This window comes from Homo sapiens, chromosome 2 (assembly GCF_000001405.40).
Source record: "Homo sapiens chromosome 2, GRCh38.p14 Primary Assembly".
Classification (NCBI taxonomy): Eukaryota; Metazoa; Chordata; class Mammalia; order Primates; family Hominidae; genus Homo; species Homo sapiens.
Window position 1 is genome coordinate 62,683,838 of NC_000002.12, and position 22,940 is coordinate 62,706,777.

Here is a 22,940-nt window from a genome sequence, read left to right on the forward strand (position 1 = left end):
GAGCCCACAGACCCAGGCAGCTGCAGGACCAGAGTTTGCTGTTTTATGAACCGAAGCTTCAGGCTCACCCACCATGGATGAGGATGCAGCAGCTCTAAGAATATCAAGCAATTCTGGGGTCTGGATAGTCTTTAGTCCAAGAAGAGGTGTCAGGCACACTTGGCAAAAGAAGATCCCATGTTCTCAGAGTGGCCTGATCAAGTGTAAGTGCACACACGTTGGAGTTTATTATATTATAGTATTGTCATCTTAGGAAACAAAGGACAACTCTGTGAGAGTATATGGGTGTGCACAGATGTTCATATGCAAGTGCCAGTGACCTTGGTGCTGTATCATTGAGAAAGAAGCCCTTAGAACAGCAAATATAACGCCAAGCAATGGTCCTGGAAATACATCCTTCACATAGCAATGGGGAGAAAAGAGATGCGACAATAAGTATCAAAGAGAGGTAGACTCCTTTCTGAGTGGAGGGATGGGGGTAGAGTGGGGGAGGTAAAATTACTCCTTGGGAAAGAAGGAGAGATACTAGAACACTGCTTCTGCTCCATTTTGGAGATGAGTGAATAGGTCTGGGCAAAGTAAAGCTTTTCAGCAAGTTGAAAAGTCGGTTCTTCAAGGAAGGGAAAAAGCCAAAGTGGGAAAAACAAGGGTAAAATTAGGTTTCTTTAAAGGCCTGAAATGAGCCATTGAGTTTTAGGAGCCATGGATTTGATTTTAAGCACATGAAGCGGGCACTGGCGTGTGTGTTCCTTGGGGCAACCCCTTTTGCCCATTATTACCAGCATTTGTCAAAATAAGGTGTGGATGTGCTTTAAAACAAGCATTTGTATTTTTTCATGCTAAAAAATATTAAAGCCCATCAATGGCTTAGAAGGAAAATTATGTTCCTATCTTCCAGCTCCTTTTCTATGAAGTCCACCAGAAAAAGAAGGAAGAAAGGAAGGGAAGGAGGGAGACAGGGAGGGAGGGAGAGAGGAAAAGAAAGAGAGAACGTTTATGTATTAGTTTGCAAGGGCAGCCATAACAAAGTACCAAAAACTGGGTGACTTACACAGTGAAATTTGTTGTCTCACAGCTCTGGAGGTTAGAAGTCTGAGATGGACTCACTTATATGTGGAATCCAACACAGTTGAACTCACAGAAGCAGAGAGCAGAACAGTGGTTACCAGAGGCTGGGGGTGCTAGGGGGAATGGGGAGATGAGAGTCAAAGGGTAAAGAACTGTTAGATAGAAGGAATAAGTTTGATTTTTTACAAGGTATATTGGACAGTCTCCCAAATATAGCTAATAATTGAGTACAGTACATTATAATATCACTAAGAGAATAAATTTCAAATGTTCTGTCATCACAAAAAAGATAAATATTTGAGGTAATGGATATATTAAGTAGCTTGATTTAATCATTCCACATTGTATTTATAAATTGTAACATCACTTTGTACCCCATAAATATATACAACTATAATTTGTCAATATATAATAAAAATAGAAAAAAAGAAGTCTGAGATGGAGGTGTCAGCATTGTTGGTTCCTTCTGAGGGTTATGAGGGAGAGTCTGTTTCATGCCCCTCCCCCAGCTTCTGTTGGTTTGATGGCTGATAGAAACAACACCCAAGTCTGTGCCTTCATCTTCACATGGTGTTCTCTCTCTGTGGTTGTCTGTGTCCCAGTGTCCCCTTTTGATAAGGACGTCAGTCATATTGGACTAGGGTCCACCTGCCGACCTCATCTTAACAAATTACATCTGCAACAACCCTATTTTCAAATAAAGTCATACTCTGAGGTACTAGGGATTAGGACTTTGATATATGAATTTGATGGGTGGAGCACAATTCAACCCACATCAGTCCATAATATCTGTTCATAGTCCAGAGCTTATAAGCGGCAGCACCTTTTGCTCCAGTGTTAGAATGCTAGAGCTAAATATATGCTTATTACAGTGATTGGGGGTTGGGGAGGAGGGGGTAGGTTTCAGAATTCCCTTCTTCTCATCACTGAGATCATCATCCTGATTACTAATGGATATAAAACCAGAATCTTCAGCTTGAATGATTTATATAATCTTTTAGAGCAACAAATTGAAGAAAAATCAAAATTCTTTTTGTATAAAAGGGACTGATTCTTTAACTTTCCAATGGGAGAGAAAACCATTTGTCACTTTACTTTCAATAAGGACAAAAAAAATAGTATTCTCTCCATTTCTCTTTTCTGAGGGAGATGTATGGGAAGGGAGTGGGTTAATTCCTAGTTTGACTTTTGAGAGCAACTTCTCCTGTTGCTCATACAAACCAAGTGATGACATGCCATTGGAAATGCCCACTTGCCCAGTGTGAGTGAGGCTTTGTGCTGAACAAAAGGAAGACAGCTCTACATTAAACCACAGGTCCTTTGTGGGGCAGACAAGAATAACATGCATGATTGCAACCCATAAATAATATACTGCATATCATCTGCATTTTGTCTACTCTTTAGGACAGAAGCAGCTATTGCTCGACAAGTTAGTGTTAATGCTTTACTCCTAATTCCAGGGCCAAGTCTTGCAGAGAGTGGTGTTTCCCTGCACTTCTTCCTCTCCCTATATTTTCAGTCCAGCCAAGCATAAATAAGTGGGCAATTTCTATCCTGATCGCTGAAGCTCTAAAGATAGGGCACTGAACCCACTAAATGATGAATACATGCCATATGGAGCTAACGGCAAGTTCCAATGCAAATTATCACCGTATTGCTCTCTGCAATGCAGATAAAAAGTCCCTTGTGTCATCTCTTTGTACTGAGCTGTGTGTATCTGGAAACAGCTAAAACCACTGAGAAAAGTGGAACATTTTATTTCATCTGAAAAGGACTGGGTATCGCTTGCATTAATGGTAAGCGAATGTTTTAAAAACATTATTTAATATTGCACACCATTTATTTCATTTGGAATCTCTTATTTTAAACACATGTTTGAATCCTTTCGGCCAGCTGTATTAACAGTGCAGTGCAGTGTACAAAAGTTGTCAAAAGACCCTGGTTTGGGTTCCTTTAAAGACATAAATATTTGTCAAGCACTTACTATGTACCAACAAGTGTTCTAGGTACTTTACATAAGTTACATCATTTACTCCTCATAACAACTCTAAAGACAAGCCCTATTATCCCCACTTTATATATAAAGAAACCATTCAACTGGTAACTAAAAGAGCTGTATTCAAATCCACACTGCCAACCCAAAGTCTACGCTCTTTCCACCACTTAATGCTACCTCCTGTCTTCAGCTGTTTTGACTTGAAGCAGACATAAATCCTCTCCAGGTCTCTTTTTCTTTATTCTTAAACAGGAGGATTGAATTAAATATTCTCTAAGATCCCTGCCAGTTCTAAACACTGTCTTTCTATGATCATTTCCCCTTTAATTTATAAGATGAAAGTAAACTTTTTATTTAAATACTGTCTTTCTTCTTCAAACCCAAAGGCATTTTTCCTATTGATGGAAGGAGGTAGAAAACCTTCGTTTTGAATATTGGAAATAATAAAGTTCAGAAACTGTTTTGCCTTGAGCTCATCTCCCTTGTTCACCTATGTGAAGTCTTCTAGTAGTACAAAAGAGATGTAGGAAAATCCCAGTTGTACTAGCAGAAGTCTGAAGTTCCCAGATAATCTATAGGTGGGTCGTAATAGATGGGTTTCCCATCTGTGTAGAAGTATAAACTGTTTAGGAATTCCAAGTAGCCACTTATTATTTGCCTAATTTTCTAGGTATTTCTATCTAGGTTCAATACAAATGCATTGTGATTTGACATATCAATTTCTCAGTGAACTCTCCCAATTTTTTTTGTGGATTGATGTGCCAATCTAAGTACGAGAGTCCAGCTATGTTCTATGAAATGGTTTGTAAGGGTTCCAATACAAAGAAAAAAGATATTCCTTTAAAGATACTGCTAAAGACTCCAGAATCTGCACAGACCCGCTATGAAAAGATCAAGGAGACAAGAGTTAGTGTGTCCTTATAAAGTATGAGGTTGAATAGATTGAAAGAAAGATAGTAAGAGTGAGTCAGTCCCAAAGTAGTTACTGTCAAAGTTTTCAAGTGAAATGAGCTGATAGGTGGCTTCTTTACCATACTGGATAAGTACATTAACTATCAGATGTGCCTACTTTTGAAAGAAGAGAGGGACTTTCATAGACAAGTAGACTCTGGAAATTATTCCTCAGCTTTCTTTCTCACTGGAACTTAACTTTCACAAAAGCAGCAAAGTGATATATCCAGTAGTATATTTTTAAAAATGAATTATCTCTCTTGGGCTCTGATTTTTGGTTTGAGAGAGAATTACTGAATAAAGTAATTTAATATTGGATGTAAAAATTGGATATTTCCAATAGCATGAGAGAGTAATGCCATCTCCTTCCTTACAGTTTGTAAATTTAATCAGCAATGTTATATACTCTACGCTCCCCTCAGAAGCAACAGAAAGGGAGGGAATCAGTATTTACTGAGTATCTTCTATGTGTTGGACATTTATTTTATTTTATTAAAAATTTTTTTCATTGACACATAATTATACATCTTTATGGGGTACATAGTGATGTTTTGTATATGTATAACATATAGTGATCAGATCAGGGTAATTCACTATTATCTCAAACATTTATCATTGCTTTGTATTGGGAACATTCAATATCCTCCTTCTATTTAAAACTACATGTTATTATTAAATGCAGTCATCCTGCAGTGTTATAGAACACTAAAACTTATTCCTTCTATTTAGTTGTAATGTTGTATCCTTTAATAAATCTCCCCCTATTCCCCTCTTTCTCTTATGCTTCCCAGCCTCTAGTATCTTCTGTTCTACTTTTCACTTCTATGAGATCAACTTTTTTTTTTTAGCTTCCACAGATGAGAACAGGCAATGTTTAACTTTCATTCATCACTTTGCCTTTCCTCCTACCCAGGCTAATCACAGAAAAAGCATAAGAAACCAAACACTTCTGAAATGGGCAAATCAAAATGAGATCATTTTTTTCATCTTCTTCACAAACTGGAAATTGTACATTAATCCCCCTTTTTGGTCGAGGAGTGATGCAGGACTACATGCAAGTTTTGGAATGACTCTTCTGGCTTTGCTTCATGAAGGGTCCTGGTATGCATACTGAGAAGGTCATTTTAATAAAACCCCAAGTAAGAATGTGTGCATCCCATTACTCAGGAGTCCCAGAATTGCATGCATATGTTTGAATCATTTGAAGCCTGTTATTTTTTAATAGTCACTAAGCCAGCACAAATATTTTAAAAATTAGAAAGAACTTTCAAAGCCTATAGTTATTTTTATCAAAGTGCCTTTAAATGCAATAACTCAAGTCAGTTGGTCTGATTGAAACACAGAAACTTCAGTGCCTCCTCAGTGAGCTGTGGAAACAAGAAATATCAGTATGTATAACCTAAATAGAGAAAAAATCAAATATGACAGAAATAAAAGGAGGCTGGTTCAGAATCTATTATGATATATCTTCATGAAACAAAAATAGCTATTACTGAAATAATTTTTTAGGCTTGGTGTGGTGGCTCACGCCTGTAATTCCAGCACTTTGGGAGGCCGAAGTGGGCAGATCGCTTGAGGCCAGGAGTTCAAGACCTGCCTGGGCAACACAGTGAAACCCTGTCTCTACTAAAATTACAAAAATTAGCCGGGCATTGGTGGCACACACCTGTAATTCCAGCTACCCGGGAGGCTGAGGCAGGAGAATTGCTTGAACCCAGGAGGTGGAGGTTGCCGAGAGGTAACCGAGGTCTCGGAGATAACCGAGATTGTGCCACTGCACTCTAGCCTAGGCAACAGAGCAAGACTCTGTCTCAAAATAATAATAATAATAATTTTAAAAATTGTGTCTATTTTCATTAACAAGAATCCAAATCTTATGGCTATATTATGATTACATTATTATCAAATTCTGACTTTTTCCTGATGAAACCATTTGATTGCATGTTTATTTGTTCTTGTGTTTAAAGTGACGTTTTAGTCCTTAATGGATGAATGATAAAGTATACACAGAAAGCATTAATAGTTACTACTAAAAAGCAGTAGTGTTTATAACTTTAGGAAGTGAAAAAGAGTTATCAGGCTTTGTTAGTCTTTCATATTTCTTCTTATGACAGAATCTGCATGAATGTTTTTAAAGTTTCTTGGTTCATAAGAGAACTGTGCTAAGTCCACTTTTTAATCACATTTGGTATTGTCTATAATAGTTGAAGTTTCAGGCAGACCTGCTGAAGAGTAGAAGGACTGGGCCATCTTTCAATAATCTGGGAGGCTGTGAAAGCAGTCTAGTTAACAGTCACCTGCAGCATAGCACTTAGCAGACAAAGCCTCTGGGTGCCTCCTTGGGGGTAGCAGAAAAAGCCCAACTGGGGATGATGGAGTATATGTGTCTTTAAAAATAGGGGTTTTGAAGTGAAAAAAATAATTGTTGTGGCTGGGCACGGTGGCTCACGCTTGTAATCCCTGCACTTTGAGAGGCCGAGGGAGGTGGATCATGAGGTCAGGAGTTCAAGATGGACCTGGCCAAGATGGTGAAACCCTGTCTCTACTAAAAATACAAAAATTAGCTGGGTGTGGTGGTGGGCACCTGGAATCCCAGCTACTTGGGAGGCTGAGACAGGGAGAATTGCTTGAACCCAGGAGGTGGAGGTTGCAGTGAGCCGAGATCATGCCACTGCACTCCAGCCTGGGCGACAGAGCAAGACTCCATCTCAAATAAATAAATTAATTAAATAAAAAAAATTGTTATACAAGATTGAGTAAGACTGTGAACAAATACCACTTACAAAGCCACATAAGGCTCTCATAACCAAGAATGGATGGTTTTTAAACTTTGTCTCCTACCAGGGAGACAAAGTCCTTTGCGCCCCTCAAGAAACACTTAACTAACCATATGGATTTAGTCAAGGTCAGGAAACTGAGACAGAATGAAAAAGAAATAAGAATCCCACTGGACACCTATTTCAAAGGAAGGATTTTGCCCTCTCCCCATACACCAATCAAATTTGAAACCTGCAGTGTTTAGAATTTTGTCACTGATCTTAGCTGATATGAAAATGCCAGGGAGAGGAGACAGGTGCTGTGATGACAAATGCATTTGTACAGTTCTAGATGTTTGCTATTATTGGCAATCTTTTGGAAGATCAAATCAAGAGCCCTTGCGTGCCCTCAGGTTAACTTAGAAAGTTGTTCCATCTAGAAAGAGGGCTTTAATTTTTTGAAAGAGTGAACTTGCCTCCAAGCCAATTAAAAATGCCCCTTTCTTTTTATCCTTCATAAGCTGACTGTGTTAGTTAGAATTAAATATCTTTATATGTGACAGAAAAAAATCCCACCAAAATAACTTTGTCTTATATGATTACTTCTGTCTCATATGAAAGAAGTCTGGTGATAGGCAGTTCAGGGCAAATGTAGTGCCTCTACAAATTTGTGAGAGACCCAGGCTTCTTCCAGCTTGATACTTTGCCATCCCTTATCCTCATGGTCCAAGATAGTCGCTAAAGCTCTAGCCAACCCATCTGTATCCCGTCAACAGAAAGGAAAGGCACACTCCCTCCCTTGGAGGAGACTTTCTAGAAGTTATACACAAGACTTAGCCAAACTTAGGCACATAGCCATATCTGGTTGTAAAGGAGGCTGGCAGGTCATTAGCTGAGTGAAAATGGCTCACTTAGAAATTGGGGTTTTTATTTCTAGAGAAGAAAAAAGGAGAATGGGTATTGACAGGCAACTAACAATATTTGCTTCTGAACTCCTCCAGACCTCCTAAATTTTCCCCTCAACTGAAAATCCTCTAATCCACTACCTTAATTTTACTGATAAATGAACAGAATGGTGTTAAACCTAAGTGACTTGTCCCAGGCTGCAGGTTGGAGGCCAGGAAAAACTAGAACCCACATCTCAAAACTTTAAGAGTAGGGAACATTCATATTTTAAATTTCTGTATTAGAATATTATATTTTGCTGAGCTCTAGCATATTCAGTTTTCTTGTGACTTTTAGTAAAATGTGGCTGCAGTGGTTTCTTTCTATATCGTTTTATTTTTCTTAATGGCTTTATTGAGATATAAATCAAATACAGTATCTCCTAGTAATAGTGTACAATTTAGTGGTTTTTAGTATGTTCAGAGTTGTGCAACCATCATCACTATGTAATTTTAGGTCATTTTTATCGCTTCAAAAAGAAGCCAATATTTATTAGCAGTAACTCCTTCATGTGCCTGAACTTTCTGTCTCTGTGGATTTGTCTTTTACGGACATTTCATATAAAAGTAATCATACAATATGTGTCTTTTGCAACTGGCTTCTTTCACTTAACATAGTTTTCAAGGTTCATCCATGTTATAGCGTGAATCAATGCTTCATTCATTTTTATTGCTGAAAAATATTCCATTGTATGATAATGCCACATTTTGTTTATCCATTCATGAGCTGATAGAATTTGGGTTTCTTCCACTATTTGATTATTATGAATAAAGCCACTGTGAACACTTATGCACAAGTTTTTGTGTGGACATATGCATCCACTTCTCTTTGGTATTTACCTAGGAGTGGTATCACTGAGTCATAGTAGCTCTACATTTACCATTTTGAGGAATTGCCAAACTGGTTTTCAAAAGTGGCTGTTCCTTTTTACAATCTTGCCAGCAAGGTATGAGGGCTCCAATTTTATTGCATCCTCATCAACCCTTGTTATTGTCTGTCTTTGATCTTAAACCATTTTAATTGGTGTAAAGTAGTATCTTACTGTGGTTTGGATTCCCATTTCTCTGATGGCAAATTATATTGAACATCTTTTCAAGTGCTTGTTGGTCATTTATATGTATATCATCTTCAGATAAATGTCAATTTAAATTCTTGGCCAATTTTCATTATATTTTGTATTATAATTTTTTTTTAATTTTTGTGGGCACATAGTAGGTGTATATATTTATGGGGTACCTGAGATACTTTGATATAGTCATATAATGTGTAATAATCACATCAGGGTACAAGCATTTATCCTTTGTGTCACAAACAATACAATTATATTCTTTTAGCTATTTTAATGGGTGTAAAAAATTATCGTTGACTGTAATCACCTCTTGTGCTATCAAATACTAGATCTTATTCATTTTGACTATATTTTTATACCCATTAATTATCCTCATGACCCCTACCCCTTTCCCCTACTACCCTTCCCAGCCTCTGGTAACCATCCTCTATCTCCATGAGTTCAATTGTTTTAATTTTTAGCTCCCATAGATAAGTGAAAACATGTGCAGTTTGTCTTTCTATACCTGGTTTATTTCACTTAACATAATGACCTCCAGTACCATCTATGCTGTTGCAAATAACAGTATCTCATTCTTTTTTATGGCTGAATAGTACTCCATTGTGTATAACTACCACATTTTCTTAATCCATTCATCTGTTGACGGACACTTAGGTTGCTTCCAAATCTTGGCATTGTGAATAGTGATTCAATACACATGGGAGTGCAGAGATCTCTCCAATATACTGATTTCCTGCCAATTTTTAAAGTGTATCATTTGTCTGTCTTTGAGCTTGTAATAATTCTTCATATATTCTAGATACAAGTACCTTATCAGATATATGGTTTGCATATATTTTCTCCCATCTGTTGGTTATTTTTTCACTTAAAATGGATACGTAATAATTGTATTTATTTATAGGATACATGTGTGTTTTTGACAAGTGCATACAATGTGTAGAGGTCAAATCAGGGCAATTGGGATATCTGTCACCTCAAATATTTATCATTTCTTTGTGTTGGCAACATTCTAAATCTTCTGTTCTAGCTACTTTGAAATATACTATAAATTCTTAACTATAGTCACCCTACTGTGCTATCAAACAATAGAACATATTCCTTCTAGTGAATTTTATTTTTGTATCCATTAACCAACCTCTCTTCTCCCCTCCCGACTACACTTCCCAACCTTGGGCTACTACCATTCTACCATCTACCTCCAGAAAAATCAACTTTTTAGCTCCCACATATGAGTGAGAACATGTAATATTTGTCTATCTTCATTTTCTTGATGGTGTCTTTGAGGTATAAGATTTTAAAATTTTGATGAAGTCCAGTTTATCTGTTTTTTTCTTTTGTTGCTCTTGCTTTTGTTACTGTATCTAAAAAACCATTGCCAAACCCAAAGCTATGAAGATTTATTTGTTTTCTTCTAACAGTTTTATAGTTTTAGCTGTTAACATTTAGGTTAATGATACATTTTGTGGTAATTTTTGTATTTGGTTGTTTCTGTACTGTTAATTTTCAAAGAACATTAAAGAAATTATTGCAAGTCATGGGTATCACTCCTTAAGGGCGTTCTTTTTCATTCATACTGGAAAAGATTAAACTCTTTGGGCTAGATTGCCATTGAAGTTATCAACAATATACTCTAGAAAGTGCAATATGTTCTATTAATGCTTTTTAAATTGATCTATAATTACTCTCCTTTTTAGCACTTGGTATAAACAATTGAATTAGGAACTGGTATATTTAGGAATGATATCTTATATCTTACTAAAAGACATCATTCTGCCTTCATGTTTTCTATGGGAATTGTGACTATAAGTTTTCAATTTTTAGTTGATCAGAAAAATTAAGGCTAGACAAAAATCACCAAAAATAGCACTCCCTCCCATGACAAAAAAAAAAAAACTTCTTAAGACAGCAAAAACTAGATAATAATGGAAACAACTGTGGAGAAACTCTTACTGCCTTTTAAAATGTCACAAACATATCCTTGTATTAAGGGTAGACATTTAAAAAAATGACCAAATTAGAGCTGGAAGGGGTCTTAAGAGCTTATTTCTTCCAGCACCTCACCTCCAGTAGCCAACTATCATTTTCCCATTCCCATTTTACAGATGAGGCAAATGAAGCAACTCTCTCTGCTTCATCTCCTGGCTTCCTCTGTTTTGGCTTTTTTCTTCGACTTGCTCCAGTGGAGGTCCCTGGCAGCAGGATACCTATCTTTATAGCAATCAGTCCCAGAGGAAAGAGCTTGTCTTTCCTAATAATTCTACCAATATTCCCAGAATTTTGTATGTTTATGTCACACATATATGTATATGTAAGTATATGTATATGTCATATATAAGAGGGGAAATAAGAGAGGAGCTAAACATGAGCCAGAATTAGAGGATATGAGGAAAACGCCCAGCAGAATCATGAAATTCACAGTCCTAAAGCAATTCAAGTACAAAATAAAATGTCAGTGAAGACTGGGTGCAGTGGCTCATGCCTATAATCCCAGCACTTTGGGAGGCCAAGGCAGGGAGGGCGGCTTGAGCCCAGGAGTTTGAGACCTGGCAACATTGGCAAAACTCCATTTCTACCAAAAAAATACAAAAATTAGGTGGGCATGGTGATGTGTGCCTGTGGTCCCAACTACTCGGGAGGCTGAGGTGGGAGAATCACTTGAGACCAGGAGGTCGAGGCTGCAGTGAGCCGTGATCACACCACTGCACTCTACTCCGGATGACAGAGCGAGACTCTGTCTCAAAAAGAGAAAAAAAAAGTCAATGAAAGGTCAATGAAAACTCATCCTTCTGTTTATGTTACAAAATTCAGAAGACATTCTAGAAATAAAACGTTTTGTGAAAGAAGATTCTTTAATCTCTCAACTGGAGTGTATCAATGGGCAGAATAGATCCAGAATCAGAACACATTAGATGAACCAGTAATTGATTTATTTGGGGGAGAGTTTCCATTTTTGTCAATTGGATATGATTTATAATCAGAAACTATAGATGGAAAGCTTTTAGATAGCGAGAGAACATTTTAAAGATTATGGAATGATGGCTTATACAATATCTTCGATCTAAAACTACAATTATACACGTTTAATCCTTATTATTTTTATTTATTTTTGAAACAGAGTCTCACTCTGTCTCCCAGGCTGGAGTGCAGTGGTGCAGTCACCACTTGCTGCAGCCTCAACCTCCCAGGCTCGAGTGATTCTCCCACCCCAGCCTTCCAAGTAGCTGGGACCACAGGCGTGTGCCACCGCACCCAGCTAATTTTTGTATTTTTTGTAGAGACAGGGTTTTGACACGTTGCTCAGGCTGGTCTCAAACTCCTGAGCTTAAGTGATCCTCCTGCCTCAGCCTCCCAAAGTGCTGGGATTACAGGCATGAGCCACCATGACCAGCCTAATCATTATTTTTTATTGTAAAAAAAATACAAAGGAAATTAAAAAAGAAAACGTATCACATAATTTTTACATTAACATAAAGCTGTTTGTGTAATCTCTTTGAAGTTTCCCTCCCTCCCTCCCTTCCTTTCTCTCTCTCTCTCTCTCTCTCTCTTTCTTTCTTTCTTTGCTTTTTGAGACAGAGTCTCACTCTGTCACCCAGGCTTGAGTACAGTGGCACGGTCTTGGCTCACTGCAGCCTCTTCCTCCCAGGTTCAAGCAATTCTCCTGTCTCAGCCTCCCAAGTAGCTGGGATTGCAGGCGCTCACCACCACACCTGGCTAATTTTTGTATTTTTAATAGAGACAGGGTTTCACTGTGTTGGCCAGGCTGGTCTACCCACCTTGGCCTCCCAAAATGCTAGGATAACAGGGGTGAGCTACCATGCCCAGCTTTTTTTTTTCTTTTCCTTTTTCTTCTCTTTTTTCTTTTTCTTTTCTTTTCTTTTTTTTCTTCTTTTTTTTTTTTTTTTTTTTTTTGAGACGGAGTCTCACTGTGTTGCCCAGGCTGGAGTGCAGTGGCGCTATCTCTGCTCACTGCAAGCTCCACCTCCCGGGTTCATGCCATTCTCCTGCCTCAGCCTGCCAAGTAGCTGGGACTACAGGCGCCAGCCACCAGGCCCGGCTAATTTTTTTTTTGTATTTTTAGTAGAGACGGGGTTTCACTGTGTTAGCCAGGATGGTCTTCATCTCTTGACCTCGTCTTCCACCCTCCTTGGCCTGCCAAAGTGCTGGGATTACAGGCGTGAGCCACCACGCCTGACCTTTTTTTCTTTTTTAACATTTAAAAAATCACAGAACACATACAAGACAAAAAACAACCTTTAATTATTCTATCTCTAAGGATATCTAGGAAGAAGCTAAAATATTTCTGAGGAAAAGACAGTGAAAATAGGCCTTTGTTTTCTTTTTTAAATTTTTTGATAATTTAAGGAGTGAAAAGGGAAATTAAATAGGATGGGTGTGTTTGTTAAAACTCTGTCACATTCTTAATGACCATTACACTCTTGAAAGTTGCATGTGAGCTCAAGGGAATATGTTAATCAGATTGTTTTGGCTGATGTTTAACAGGTTGCAGATCATTTCTCTCAGACAATGTAATTTCAATTTTGGCATGTGTTAGTTTTGCATATTTGTAGTTACAATCATGTTGCCTTATAGACATAACTTAAAAAAATCAATGTCTCTATTCAGTAAATCATAAAAATAATAATGTAAATACTACAATTCAAATTTTAAAAACATAAATTGTAAACAGGACTCCAGTGCAAATATAGATTATAAATTTGTATGTGTTCTGACAAGTCTCTATGTGACTTTGCACAAGCAGCCACAACAAAAGGAAAGAGCTGGAAGTACAATAATACACATCTGATAATTGGATTTTATTGAGTGGGTGATCCTTTTATGTTAGTCCCCAGCACATTGTCTTTTATAACACTTTTCTCAGGTTTTTTGTCATTGTTAAACAAAGCACGGTCACCTCTCATCAACTGAAATTTTCTAAGGGAAATACTAAACAATGACTTCTAATAGAAGAGAAATATGAGCTCCAGGAGGACAGGGATTTTGTCTTTTTTATGTGCTGCATTCCCAATACCTACCAGAATGCTTTGACCTTAATAATTATTCACTGAATATTTCTTAATAAATTAACAGATTTTTCACTAAAAATATCATCAAAGAAAATCAAAATGAAAAAGCTATCATTCAAAGTTGTACTCTTGAACCTGTTGCCTTAGAACTTGCAAAGTCAACTGAAAGTTAATAAGATATTATTAAGGGAAATTAATAAGAGAAAACAGAATGAACTATTGGCAAAACTGATCCAGTAACATTCTTGGGCATACATCCATAGCATACAATGTTGAAGACCAGGTCCCATTATACACGCTGTGCAGCAATTTCATGTTACAGCTCTATATGTGTTAGAGAGAAGTACTCAACAAGTTGGTCTTTTTATCACTGACAAGTCACTGCAGGATTTTGGTAATTGTTATCTTGTTCAGCTGTAGGCTGGACAAGACACATGGCAAACAAACTGATTGGCACAAGGTAGTTTTGTGAATAGCTAGAAAGAGTGTTATTACAAGAATAAGAGAAGTTGAACAGTTAACAATATGCCTCCTATTCTTGCTTTAATTGTTCAAGAAAAGAGTGAATATTTCAAATATAATCAAGTTGTGACCTTTAAATATGCTCTTTTTAGCATGTGTTATGTGAAGAAACATGCACAAGTATAACACTCTCCTTTTCCACACTGAAGTATGCTGGTTAGCAGGTGCTCACACATTTTTGAAATGAGAAATGGGACACTGATAATGCAAGACAGTTGTTTCAAGGGGCTCTCTCAATATAGGTAACTCAGTACTATGTTCAATATCTAAAACAGACTCAACTTATTTCAGGGATAAAATATTGTGATTTTTAAAATTTTAAAGATAGCAGGATTTCTTCGGAAGATTGAACTATGGCACAAAAACCTGACTTGCTCAACACTTGAATTTCTTTTCTTGGAGAAAGAGATCAATGATGCATTATTGGGAATATTTTAAAATAGCATCCAAAAGTTGTGACAGAATATGAAGAAATATCCAGCGGCTCTCACAAAGTCATCTTTGCTTCCCAGGCTACGTTCTGATCACTGTAAGCCCAGTCACTAATTGGGTGACTTGCTGTGAAAAGAGAGGCCTGGAACAATATTGCAGCTCTCTCTGGCTCTCATGTTATTGCCCTTGCCCTGGAATTTTTCTCTATCTTGCCCTGCCCAGAAGATTGCCCAAACTGTGCATGAGTTAATCCTGCCCTTTGAAAGCTGGGTTTATTTTCCAGCTCTACTCATCTGGGACAAGCTTCAGCAACAGGGCTACTTTCCCTTGGCTCATGCCCAGTGCCCTGGTAAGTGGAGTTTTGCCTGCTTTCAGCTTGCTTTGAAATTTTGCTTTTTGTGTGTGTGTTCTTTGTACTGTATGGGATGGAAGTGCTTTGGTTTTACACCACAAGGGTTGTAGTCAATGCCCTCCAAGATTATGAATTTCTACCAGCTTTTCTTTGCCTTTCCTGTCTAGCCTTATTATTTCAGAATGATATTAATTATATTATCTTGCTCATACAAATATAATCATCTATGAATTATTCAGAGGAAAACACTGGCTGGATGCTGTATCTGGTTACCTGGATTTTTTTTCCAGTTTTTGAAAACACAGAAGAAGTGAAGCAAAGGTCAGTCTACCCCTTATAATTTGCCAAAGGCTCTTAACATTTCATGGGAAATGACCAGTAAGTCTTGGTCAAGAATCCCTGCTGATTTTATAGGAGATGAATTTATTGAATTTAGCAATGACTTTCTCAGCTGAGGTCTTAATTCCAACTCAAATCTTTGCTGCTATAATCCCAGTAATGGCCCACTTATTTGCAATATGTAAATTATCTCAGCTAGCTGCTTTTACCTTGACATACACATTTGTGGACTGGGACTTCACCATTATGAAAGTATCTTAAGTAGTTAGAAGGCTTAGATTGAGAGGATGCTATAGACCAGCAAGGGCACTCTAGAGTTAGGGCTGGTATTTAGTTAGTCCACAAAGGGACAACTAGGCCAACGTTTACAGTTGTCATCCATTCTAACTGATCAATGCCTATGCCATGTTGTTAACACACTGAATGTCCACACTTTGAATATCATTGTTGCCTGCAATATAAAGATTTCTAAGCTTCTAGTCATTCACTGTGTTGCTCCAGATTAACAACAGAAGTTAGTCCTGCCGAATCACCAGTGGATAGAATCTGTAGATTTGCTTCAGTCTCTACCTGAGTTTCAAGGAAGTCAAGAATGCTCCTCTGCCTCTAGCAACCAAGCCCATGTTGGTCTTTTCTAGATGCTGTGGAGCTGGACAAAATTGTATTTTTAGTATACAACTGAGGTCCTAGAATTAGTGCAATCTTAGGTTCAATGTGCAAAGCTTCATTATGACTAACTTCAAATATTCGTTCATGGGTAACTGCAACAGAAACAATTTCACCAAAGAATACTGTTCCTAATTGAAAGATGGTTTTCTAATGCAGCTTTTCTAAGCTTTTATGTCAACCAAAGAACTTGGGTCCTATAATGATAGAGTAAAAAAAAAAGGCCACCTTTTAAGAGAATAAACATAGGTTTTAAATTATTTTATTAAGAGTTATTATTTAAGGTTATATAACAGGCATAAATCTCAATCTAAAGAAATTCAGGTTGGCAAGAAACACAGTTTTATTTTCCCATTACTCAACCTAATTTCTATTTCAAGCTTTGATTTCACAAGGGGTGGCAAACACTTAATCATAGTCAATTTGGCAGGAACTGCATCTCAATTGAGGGGGCTTACATAGCATCACTATGTTGGGGGAAGGGGATGGGGCATTTAATCCTTGCTTCTCATCTACTATGCTGGCTCCTCTTAGAGTTCTAATATTCATCTTCATTAGCAGCCAGCTCCATGGATTGTTGCTGGGTTGATTTTGGATCATCAGCAAGGACTCTTTTGGTCTGGTGGCTGTGCAGTGCCTCTGTACCCCTCTGGGTGTCTGGAAATTGTGTTGGGCATCCAGAACCTCCACAGTACTATGTAAGTTTGCACTGTCCATTATGGTAGCTACCAGCCACATGTAGCCAATAAATAAATTAAAATTAAATAATATTAAAACTCAACTTCTTCAGTGACACTAGCCACATTTTGCATGTCCAGTAGTTCCAAGTGGCTCATGGCTACTCCATTGGACAGCCATGTAGATATTCATCATAGAAAGTTCTACTGGACTGTGCCACTCCAAAATCTTGGCTGGCCTAGATAACAACCCAGTTTTTTCTTCTCTTAAGGGTCTTGCCACCTCCCCAGGACTCTAATAAGGAGAAAAATATTTCTATTAGCTCTCAGATACCATAGATAGATCCTATCATTTCAGCTGCCCTTCTCCCAAGTTTGTGCCAGAATAGGGTGGGATTAGGTCCTGCTCTCAGAAATCCACTAGCATCCAGCTCTCATTACATCCCCTCCAAGTTCTGTCTTTCCCTTCCAGCCCAGGAAACTCATTTCTCATCTTTGGGAAAGGAAGCTTTACTATTGTCTGTAACAGCACTGTCCAATAGGAATATAATGTGAGGCATATATATAATTTACATTTTTCCAGTAGCTGCATTAAAAAAGAGTAAAGGAACAGGTAAAATTAATTTTACTGTCTTTAATAAACCCAATATAGCCAAAATATTATTTCAATATGTAATCAATATAAATATTATTAATGTATTAATCTTTTTTGCATACTAAGTCTGAAATCAGTATATATTTTATACTTATAGCACATCTCAATTGGGACTAGCCACATTTCAAGTATTCAATAGTCACATGTGGTTAGAGGCGAACAGTGCAGGTCTCTAACAGGATTCCATTTCATTATTCCTCAACAGGTTAGGCTTTTGAAACTCAAAAACCAATAAAAAATTTTTTGTTTTTCTACATTCTGTTATATTCCTTTGCTGTAACAATGAGCAAAGACCGGCCTAAATGAGGGTGAGTGCAATGCTGAGGATCTTGGGGTGGGGTATAAGAGGAGAAAAGCCATAGCAAGAAAGGAAATATTTAACACTTGGAAAAACAACTACTACAGAAACCATCAGTTAAAATTTTAAAAGTATTGGCCTGCCACAGTGAGATTTTAAGGACATAAAAATTGCTATAGGATTGTTGGAAGTAAATTTGTCTGCTGTGGGTTTAAAACAATTTCATTAGCAGTTAAAAATTGCAGTAATATTGTTGTGTATAGTATAACCACTATGGTAACTGGAAAAAAAAAATACAAAAACCTACAGTGTTATTATTGGGAGCAAATCTTATTACTAGGAATACGGCACAGATAAATTCCATTAGTGGATAAATCCTGCAATAATACCTCTGACAATTTTTACTGCAATAACTGTAAAACCCAAAGATAAGAATTTTATCACCAGGAAAGATAATAGTAATTCAAGCCTATGGTTGCATTTCATAGTCTTGAATCTCCATTTGGGGAGTTTCTGAGGCAGTGACTAAAAAAGCTGTTTCACTGAAAATAATTTCTGTCATTTTCAAAATTGTCATGGCAGAGAAGATTTAAAGTTTTTGGATGCCATTTTCCACTTATTTCTTTGTATTCTATCTTCATTTTAAGCTTGATGATATTTAAAGGCAAATTTTAAATTATTTTAAATGTTGCATCTTCTGTTAAGTAAAACATTTTGCAGTCAACAACCTGGGTCAAATGGACAGGATAATTAATGTAACTTGCATTAAACCTGGGACAGAGGGAGACGATAAATCAAGATCCGAGTAAATAGGGAATTAGAAGGGGGCAGACACAGTGGGCAATCCTGGAAGTGGGAGGGTGAGTAGGAGGTACCTGTTGGTTGGTAGGGGAAATGGGACCTTAAGAAAAGGGTAACTTCTAGCATGCCAAAAGTTCTCAGCTAATATATGACATAAGGAGTTGTCATGAGGATTGAGGATAAGTGCATTCTTAGTAATTATTATAAAATCCTGAGTCCACCTAAATTATTGCTGTTCCAGTCTTGGTACCAATTGAATTAATGGGAGATAAATAATATTGAATGTACTCTTTAAGACTCTTTAGTCCTTGAGGTAGCGATGTTTGGCACTAAGTATTGCCCAAGTATTCTTGAAGGTCTGTTTTGTTCTTTTCTGTCTTGTTTATGTTTGCTACCAAACACAATAGCATATGCTACTAGTTACCATTTGACTGTTTACTATGTGCCAGATACTTTATGTACATATCTTCCATTTTCTCAACATCCCAGAAAGGTAGGCATGATTATGTTTTACAGGATCATGCTTTAAGAAGCTGGGACTCAGAGAGGTTAAGTAACTCGTGTTACTTTCTTGTGTACACACCGAACATGTTCCTGAAAGTCTTTAAGAACAGGGACTGTAACTTTTATGTACTATTGGTAATATTTAATATGATCAGGCTGGAAGCAGTGGCTCATGCCTGCAATCCCAGCACTTTGGAAGGCTGAGGCAGGCAGATCACTTGACCTCAGGAGTTCAGCCTGGGCAACGTGGTGAAACCCTGTCTCTACAAAAAGTATGAAAAATTAGCCTATCAGTTAATAGACTTGCTCCTTAAAAAAAAAAAAATTAGCCAGTCGTGGTAGCATGCGACTGTAGTCCCAGCTACTCGGGAGGTTGAGGTGGGAGGACTGCTTGAGCCTGGGAGGGTGAGGCTGCACTCCAGCCTGAGTGACAGAGAGAAACCCCGTCTCAAGAAAAAAAAAAGATTAATACTCGGTATTCAATAACTATCAGCAAAGCAGGCCAAAAGAGCTGAACATATTCTATATTTAATATTCTTCAATAAATTTAGTTAGTATACAGGTTGTTTTTTAAAATGTTATAGGGGGAAGAAGTAGCTGCTCTGTAGGGCCTCCAGGAGACAGCCTATGAACATGAGGTCAGTGGCAGAACAGGGTCAAGAGCTGTTCTTAATTCCTTCACTCATTTAGTAAACGATTCTAACTTTGATCTCTTCTTAGCTACCTTGGTGTCTAGAAGGAAAAATAAGAGTTTACATCCAAGACAAATATTTCCCCTAAAAAGAAGAGCTGTCATAAGAAACTATCAGTCTCTTGAAATTTTCCACAACTTGAGGAAGATTCCCTAGGGATCCTACTCCTTTATTTTTTTTTAAGACACCATTTAAAACTTATTACTTTTAAGGGAATTTCTTTACAATAAAGTCAGTCTCTCTATTTTTTCTCTCTTCCCCCTCTCCCTTTGGAGTAAGGGAAGCATGTTAAAAGAAACCAGAATGACCACATAAGAAAGTTTGAGAACTTCCAGAGAACAGTAATAAATAGGGTGCAAAAACCTTCTGATCATCATGTGGATTGTTTCTGAAGGGTAACTTGGATGAAAATAATTTATGACCATTTCTACAAATAAGCCATTAAAAAACTCCACACACTTAAAGCCTACTAAAGATGCAGAATATATTATTATATGAGATCATAATGGCTGTAGGTTGTAGTGACTTCGTAAACCACTCAGGAAGGACATCAGAGAACTCTTAATAGAAAATAAGAATCAATATGATTATTACGATTATCTTAACATTTTAGAATTGACTAGCAAAATAAGCGATAACTATGCTGTTTTCTGTAAAATGCACACTGTGCTCTTGTATTATTAGATCATTTTCTTTATTGAAAGTGGAAATTGAATTAGATACTGGATTCAAGCCTTATATCTGTCTCCCCATCTCTCTTGATTCTTCAACATGTCTCTCCACTTTGTCTTGGCCCCCAATGTCTACAGATGGACTCAATTCTCACCCATCACTGCTCTCTCTTCCTGTCCCTGAAAGAATCCTCCCTAGACCCTAACACCTTTCAAGCTACTTTGTCCATGCACCCTGCTTTCCAACCTTCGTAAGATTGAATGATCCTTGTTTCCAGAACCCATCCCGCTTGCTTTCTTTTTATGTTAGCTTGCCTCTCTTTTTTTTCCAAACTGTCTGCCCATAGCTTGCTGATGCGCCTACTTCTCTGATTATTCCTTCTCGGTCTCTTTCCCATTTTACTCTGTTTATTCCTTAGATGCTAGGATTCCCCTGAAGTTTCATTCTTTGTCCTCTTTCTCCACACCAGGGGTCTGTGAACCACCTAAAACTGAAAACAATTTTTTGTGTTTTGAGACAGAACACTTTTTCCCCCTTGAGAAAGTATCTGTAGCTTTCATATTCTCAAAAGGGCCCTTGGCTCTTTTAACAAGATTGAGTGTCCCTGCCCTCACTCTGCCTCCTCCTTTTTGCCTTTGACCACCCTTTTTATATGCTAGCTGTTCCCAAATCCATCTACAGTTCTCACTAGGGGCAAAAGAGTCCGACAGCGAAGAGGAAACCAAGATTCAAAGAAATGTTGAAGACTCCGAACAATAAGAAATTGTACTGTACACATTTTGTGTCTAGCTCAGCTGATTCAATCCCACTGAAGACCAGTTGACTCTATGTTGGGCGGGGAGCGGCCGGGGTGTCGGGGGGTGCCTGACAGGGTCATTACTTCAGGTTGTCAGGTAAGATCCCAGGAGGAACTGGTGAAATAAAGGCTATGCGCAAAAACCCTAGTTGCCAGTGGCGGAGGAGAGGGCGCGCCCAGGTCCTGGCGGAGATGAGAACAGGAGAGAAACCCACAGGCAGCTGCACTGCCCACAGCTGCAGCGAAGCCAATCTCTAGGTCTGCAATCACCCTTAGGGGCCAGAAACCCAGCCCCGCACCAGCGGCGCCTTTGACGGACAGCCACCTTCTGCAATCACCTTGCAGTTCACTATAAACACTCCCTATTCCTCCCGCCTATCGCTTCCCTCTCCAAGCCAATCAGAAGAACGGGCGGGATCGTCCTTAGTCGGTTCCTTCTTTTTTTTTTTAAAAAAAAGGTAGCCTGTGCGTCGCATTCCGGCTTCGGGGAAAAACCACCTCCCGAGCAAGGGCAAGGCGGAGCCCCTGTGATGGGCAGGCAGTTCTACCAATGAGGTGCCCCAGCCGCTGTAAGACCCGGCCGCCGAGGTGGGCGGGGCACGCGCGGGGCCTGGCCAATGGCGGCGGGGCGGTGGAGGTTGAGCTGCCGTGGGTAGGGTTAGTGTGAGAGGTGCGGCGGGGGAGGTAATGATGATGGTGGCGGAGGAGAAAGGCGGGGGAGGGGGTGCTGGGCGCTGAGCGGTGGCTCTGGCAGGGCTTGGTAGGGTGGGGGACGGTCGCGGGGCGATCTGTCAGGGAGGGGGTGGGCGTGAGGGGCGCCGTCCGCCTGAGGGGCTGCAGATCCCGGCTACCGCGAGCGCCGTGGCTGGCTTGGCTGTTCCATGTGGCTCCGGCGGGGATGGAGGACTCGGTGGCGGCGGCGGCTGCTGCTGCGGCGGCGACGGAGGAGCGGCTATGAGAAGGGAACGGGGCCAGACTCAGCCCGACAGCGGGATTAGAGGTGTGAGGAGGGGGCGGGAGTGGACGAGCGGCGGGGCCGGGGCTCGGGGTCCGGGCTGGGGTCTTCTGGTATCGCCTGGGTGACAGGGACCGCGGACGAGCCACCGCCTGTCTCCGCTGGGGGGCAGGGGTCTGGGCTCCGTGCGTGAGGAGACTGGGCTCCGGCGGACTGTTTCCCTGAGGATGGGGGAGGGAGGCACCGCACCCTGCACAGTCCACTTGCCCCGCTGGTCATTGCTTCACCCCCAGGCAGGAGTTTCCATTTCCCTCCGGTTGGCAGCGAAGGAGCCCAAGTGGCCTGGAGCCGGGACATTGCCCTCTCTCTGCCTGGAGATTTCCCTCCACTCCTCGTTCCCCATCCATTTCCTCCCTCCGACTGAAAAATAGCATTCCTCCTGGCTCCCTAATTTGTTCCAAGCACATATTGTCGGACTTGAGGCTATTAATTATCGACTGAAAAACAAAGTTTATTAAAAAATACTCCACTTCTCCCTCTTTCTGGCGGTGGACATTAAACAGCATCCCTAGACTTTCCCGCTCTGCTCGCCCTTCAGTGATGCTAACAGGGGGAGGTAGGGCCCCGAGTTACCGTCTCTCTGGATTGTTGTTGGTGCTGACTACCTGATGTGTCGCTCCACGTCTTCGGTGTGAATTGTAATTTCTTCCTTGGTGTCTTGCATCCTTGATGTTACTGGCTTTTGAGGTCAGTGTTTTGTTTCATTGTTT

General features: G+C 39.3%; 1 protein-coding gene across 51 annotated transcripts in view, besides 3 other annotated features; it reads left to right on the forward strand.

The window, feature by feature from the left end:
• The window catches only part of EHBP1 (EH domain binding protein 1), a 372,610-nt gene that overhangs the window by 9,960 nt on the left and 339,710 nt on the right, over nt 1–22,940 (forward strand). For 15 of the 51 annotated variants that reach the window (NM_015252.5, XM_006711971.4, XM_011532717.3 and 12 more), the window contains exon 1: nt 21,876–22,215. The exons of 3 other annotated variants lie outside the window; for them this stretch is intronic. The gene's annotated coding sequence lies outside the window, so the exon portion shown is untranslated. 33 more of the 51 variants (NM_001354213.1, XM_017003650.2, NM_001354215.1 and 30 more) reach the window with 7 other exon arrangements.
• Nucleotides 21,583–21,722: an enhancer, noted in NCBI's record as "active region_15870". NCBI's record gives its function as "activates an Ori minimal core promoter by ATAC-STARR-seq in GM12878 lymphoblastoid cells {active_cell/tissue: GM12878}" and the evidence as "EXISTENCE:reporter gene assay evidence [ECO:0000049][PMID:35858748]".
• Nucleotides 21,753–22,012: a silencer, noted in NCBI's record as "silent region_11540". NCBI's record gives its function as "represses an Ori minimal core promoter by ATAC-STARR-seq in GM12878 lymphoblastoid cells {active_cell/tissue: GM12878}" and the evidence as "EXISTENCE:reporter gene assay evidence [ECO:0000049][PMID:35858748]".
• Nucleotides 22,133–22,212: a silencer, noted in NCBI's record as "silent region_11541". NCBI's record gives its function as "represses an Ori minimal core promoter by ATAC-STARR-seq in GM12878 lymphoblastoid cells {active_cell/tissue: GM12878}" and the evidence as "EXISTENCE:reporter gene assay evidence [ECO:0000049][PMID:35858748]".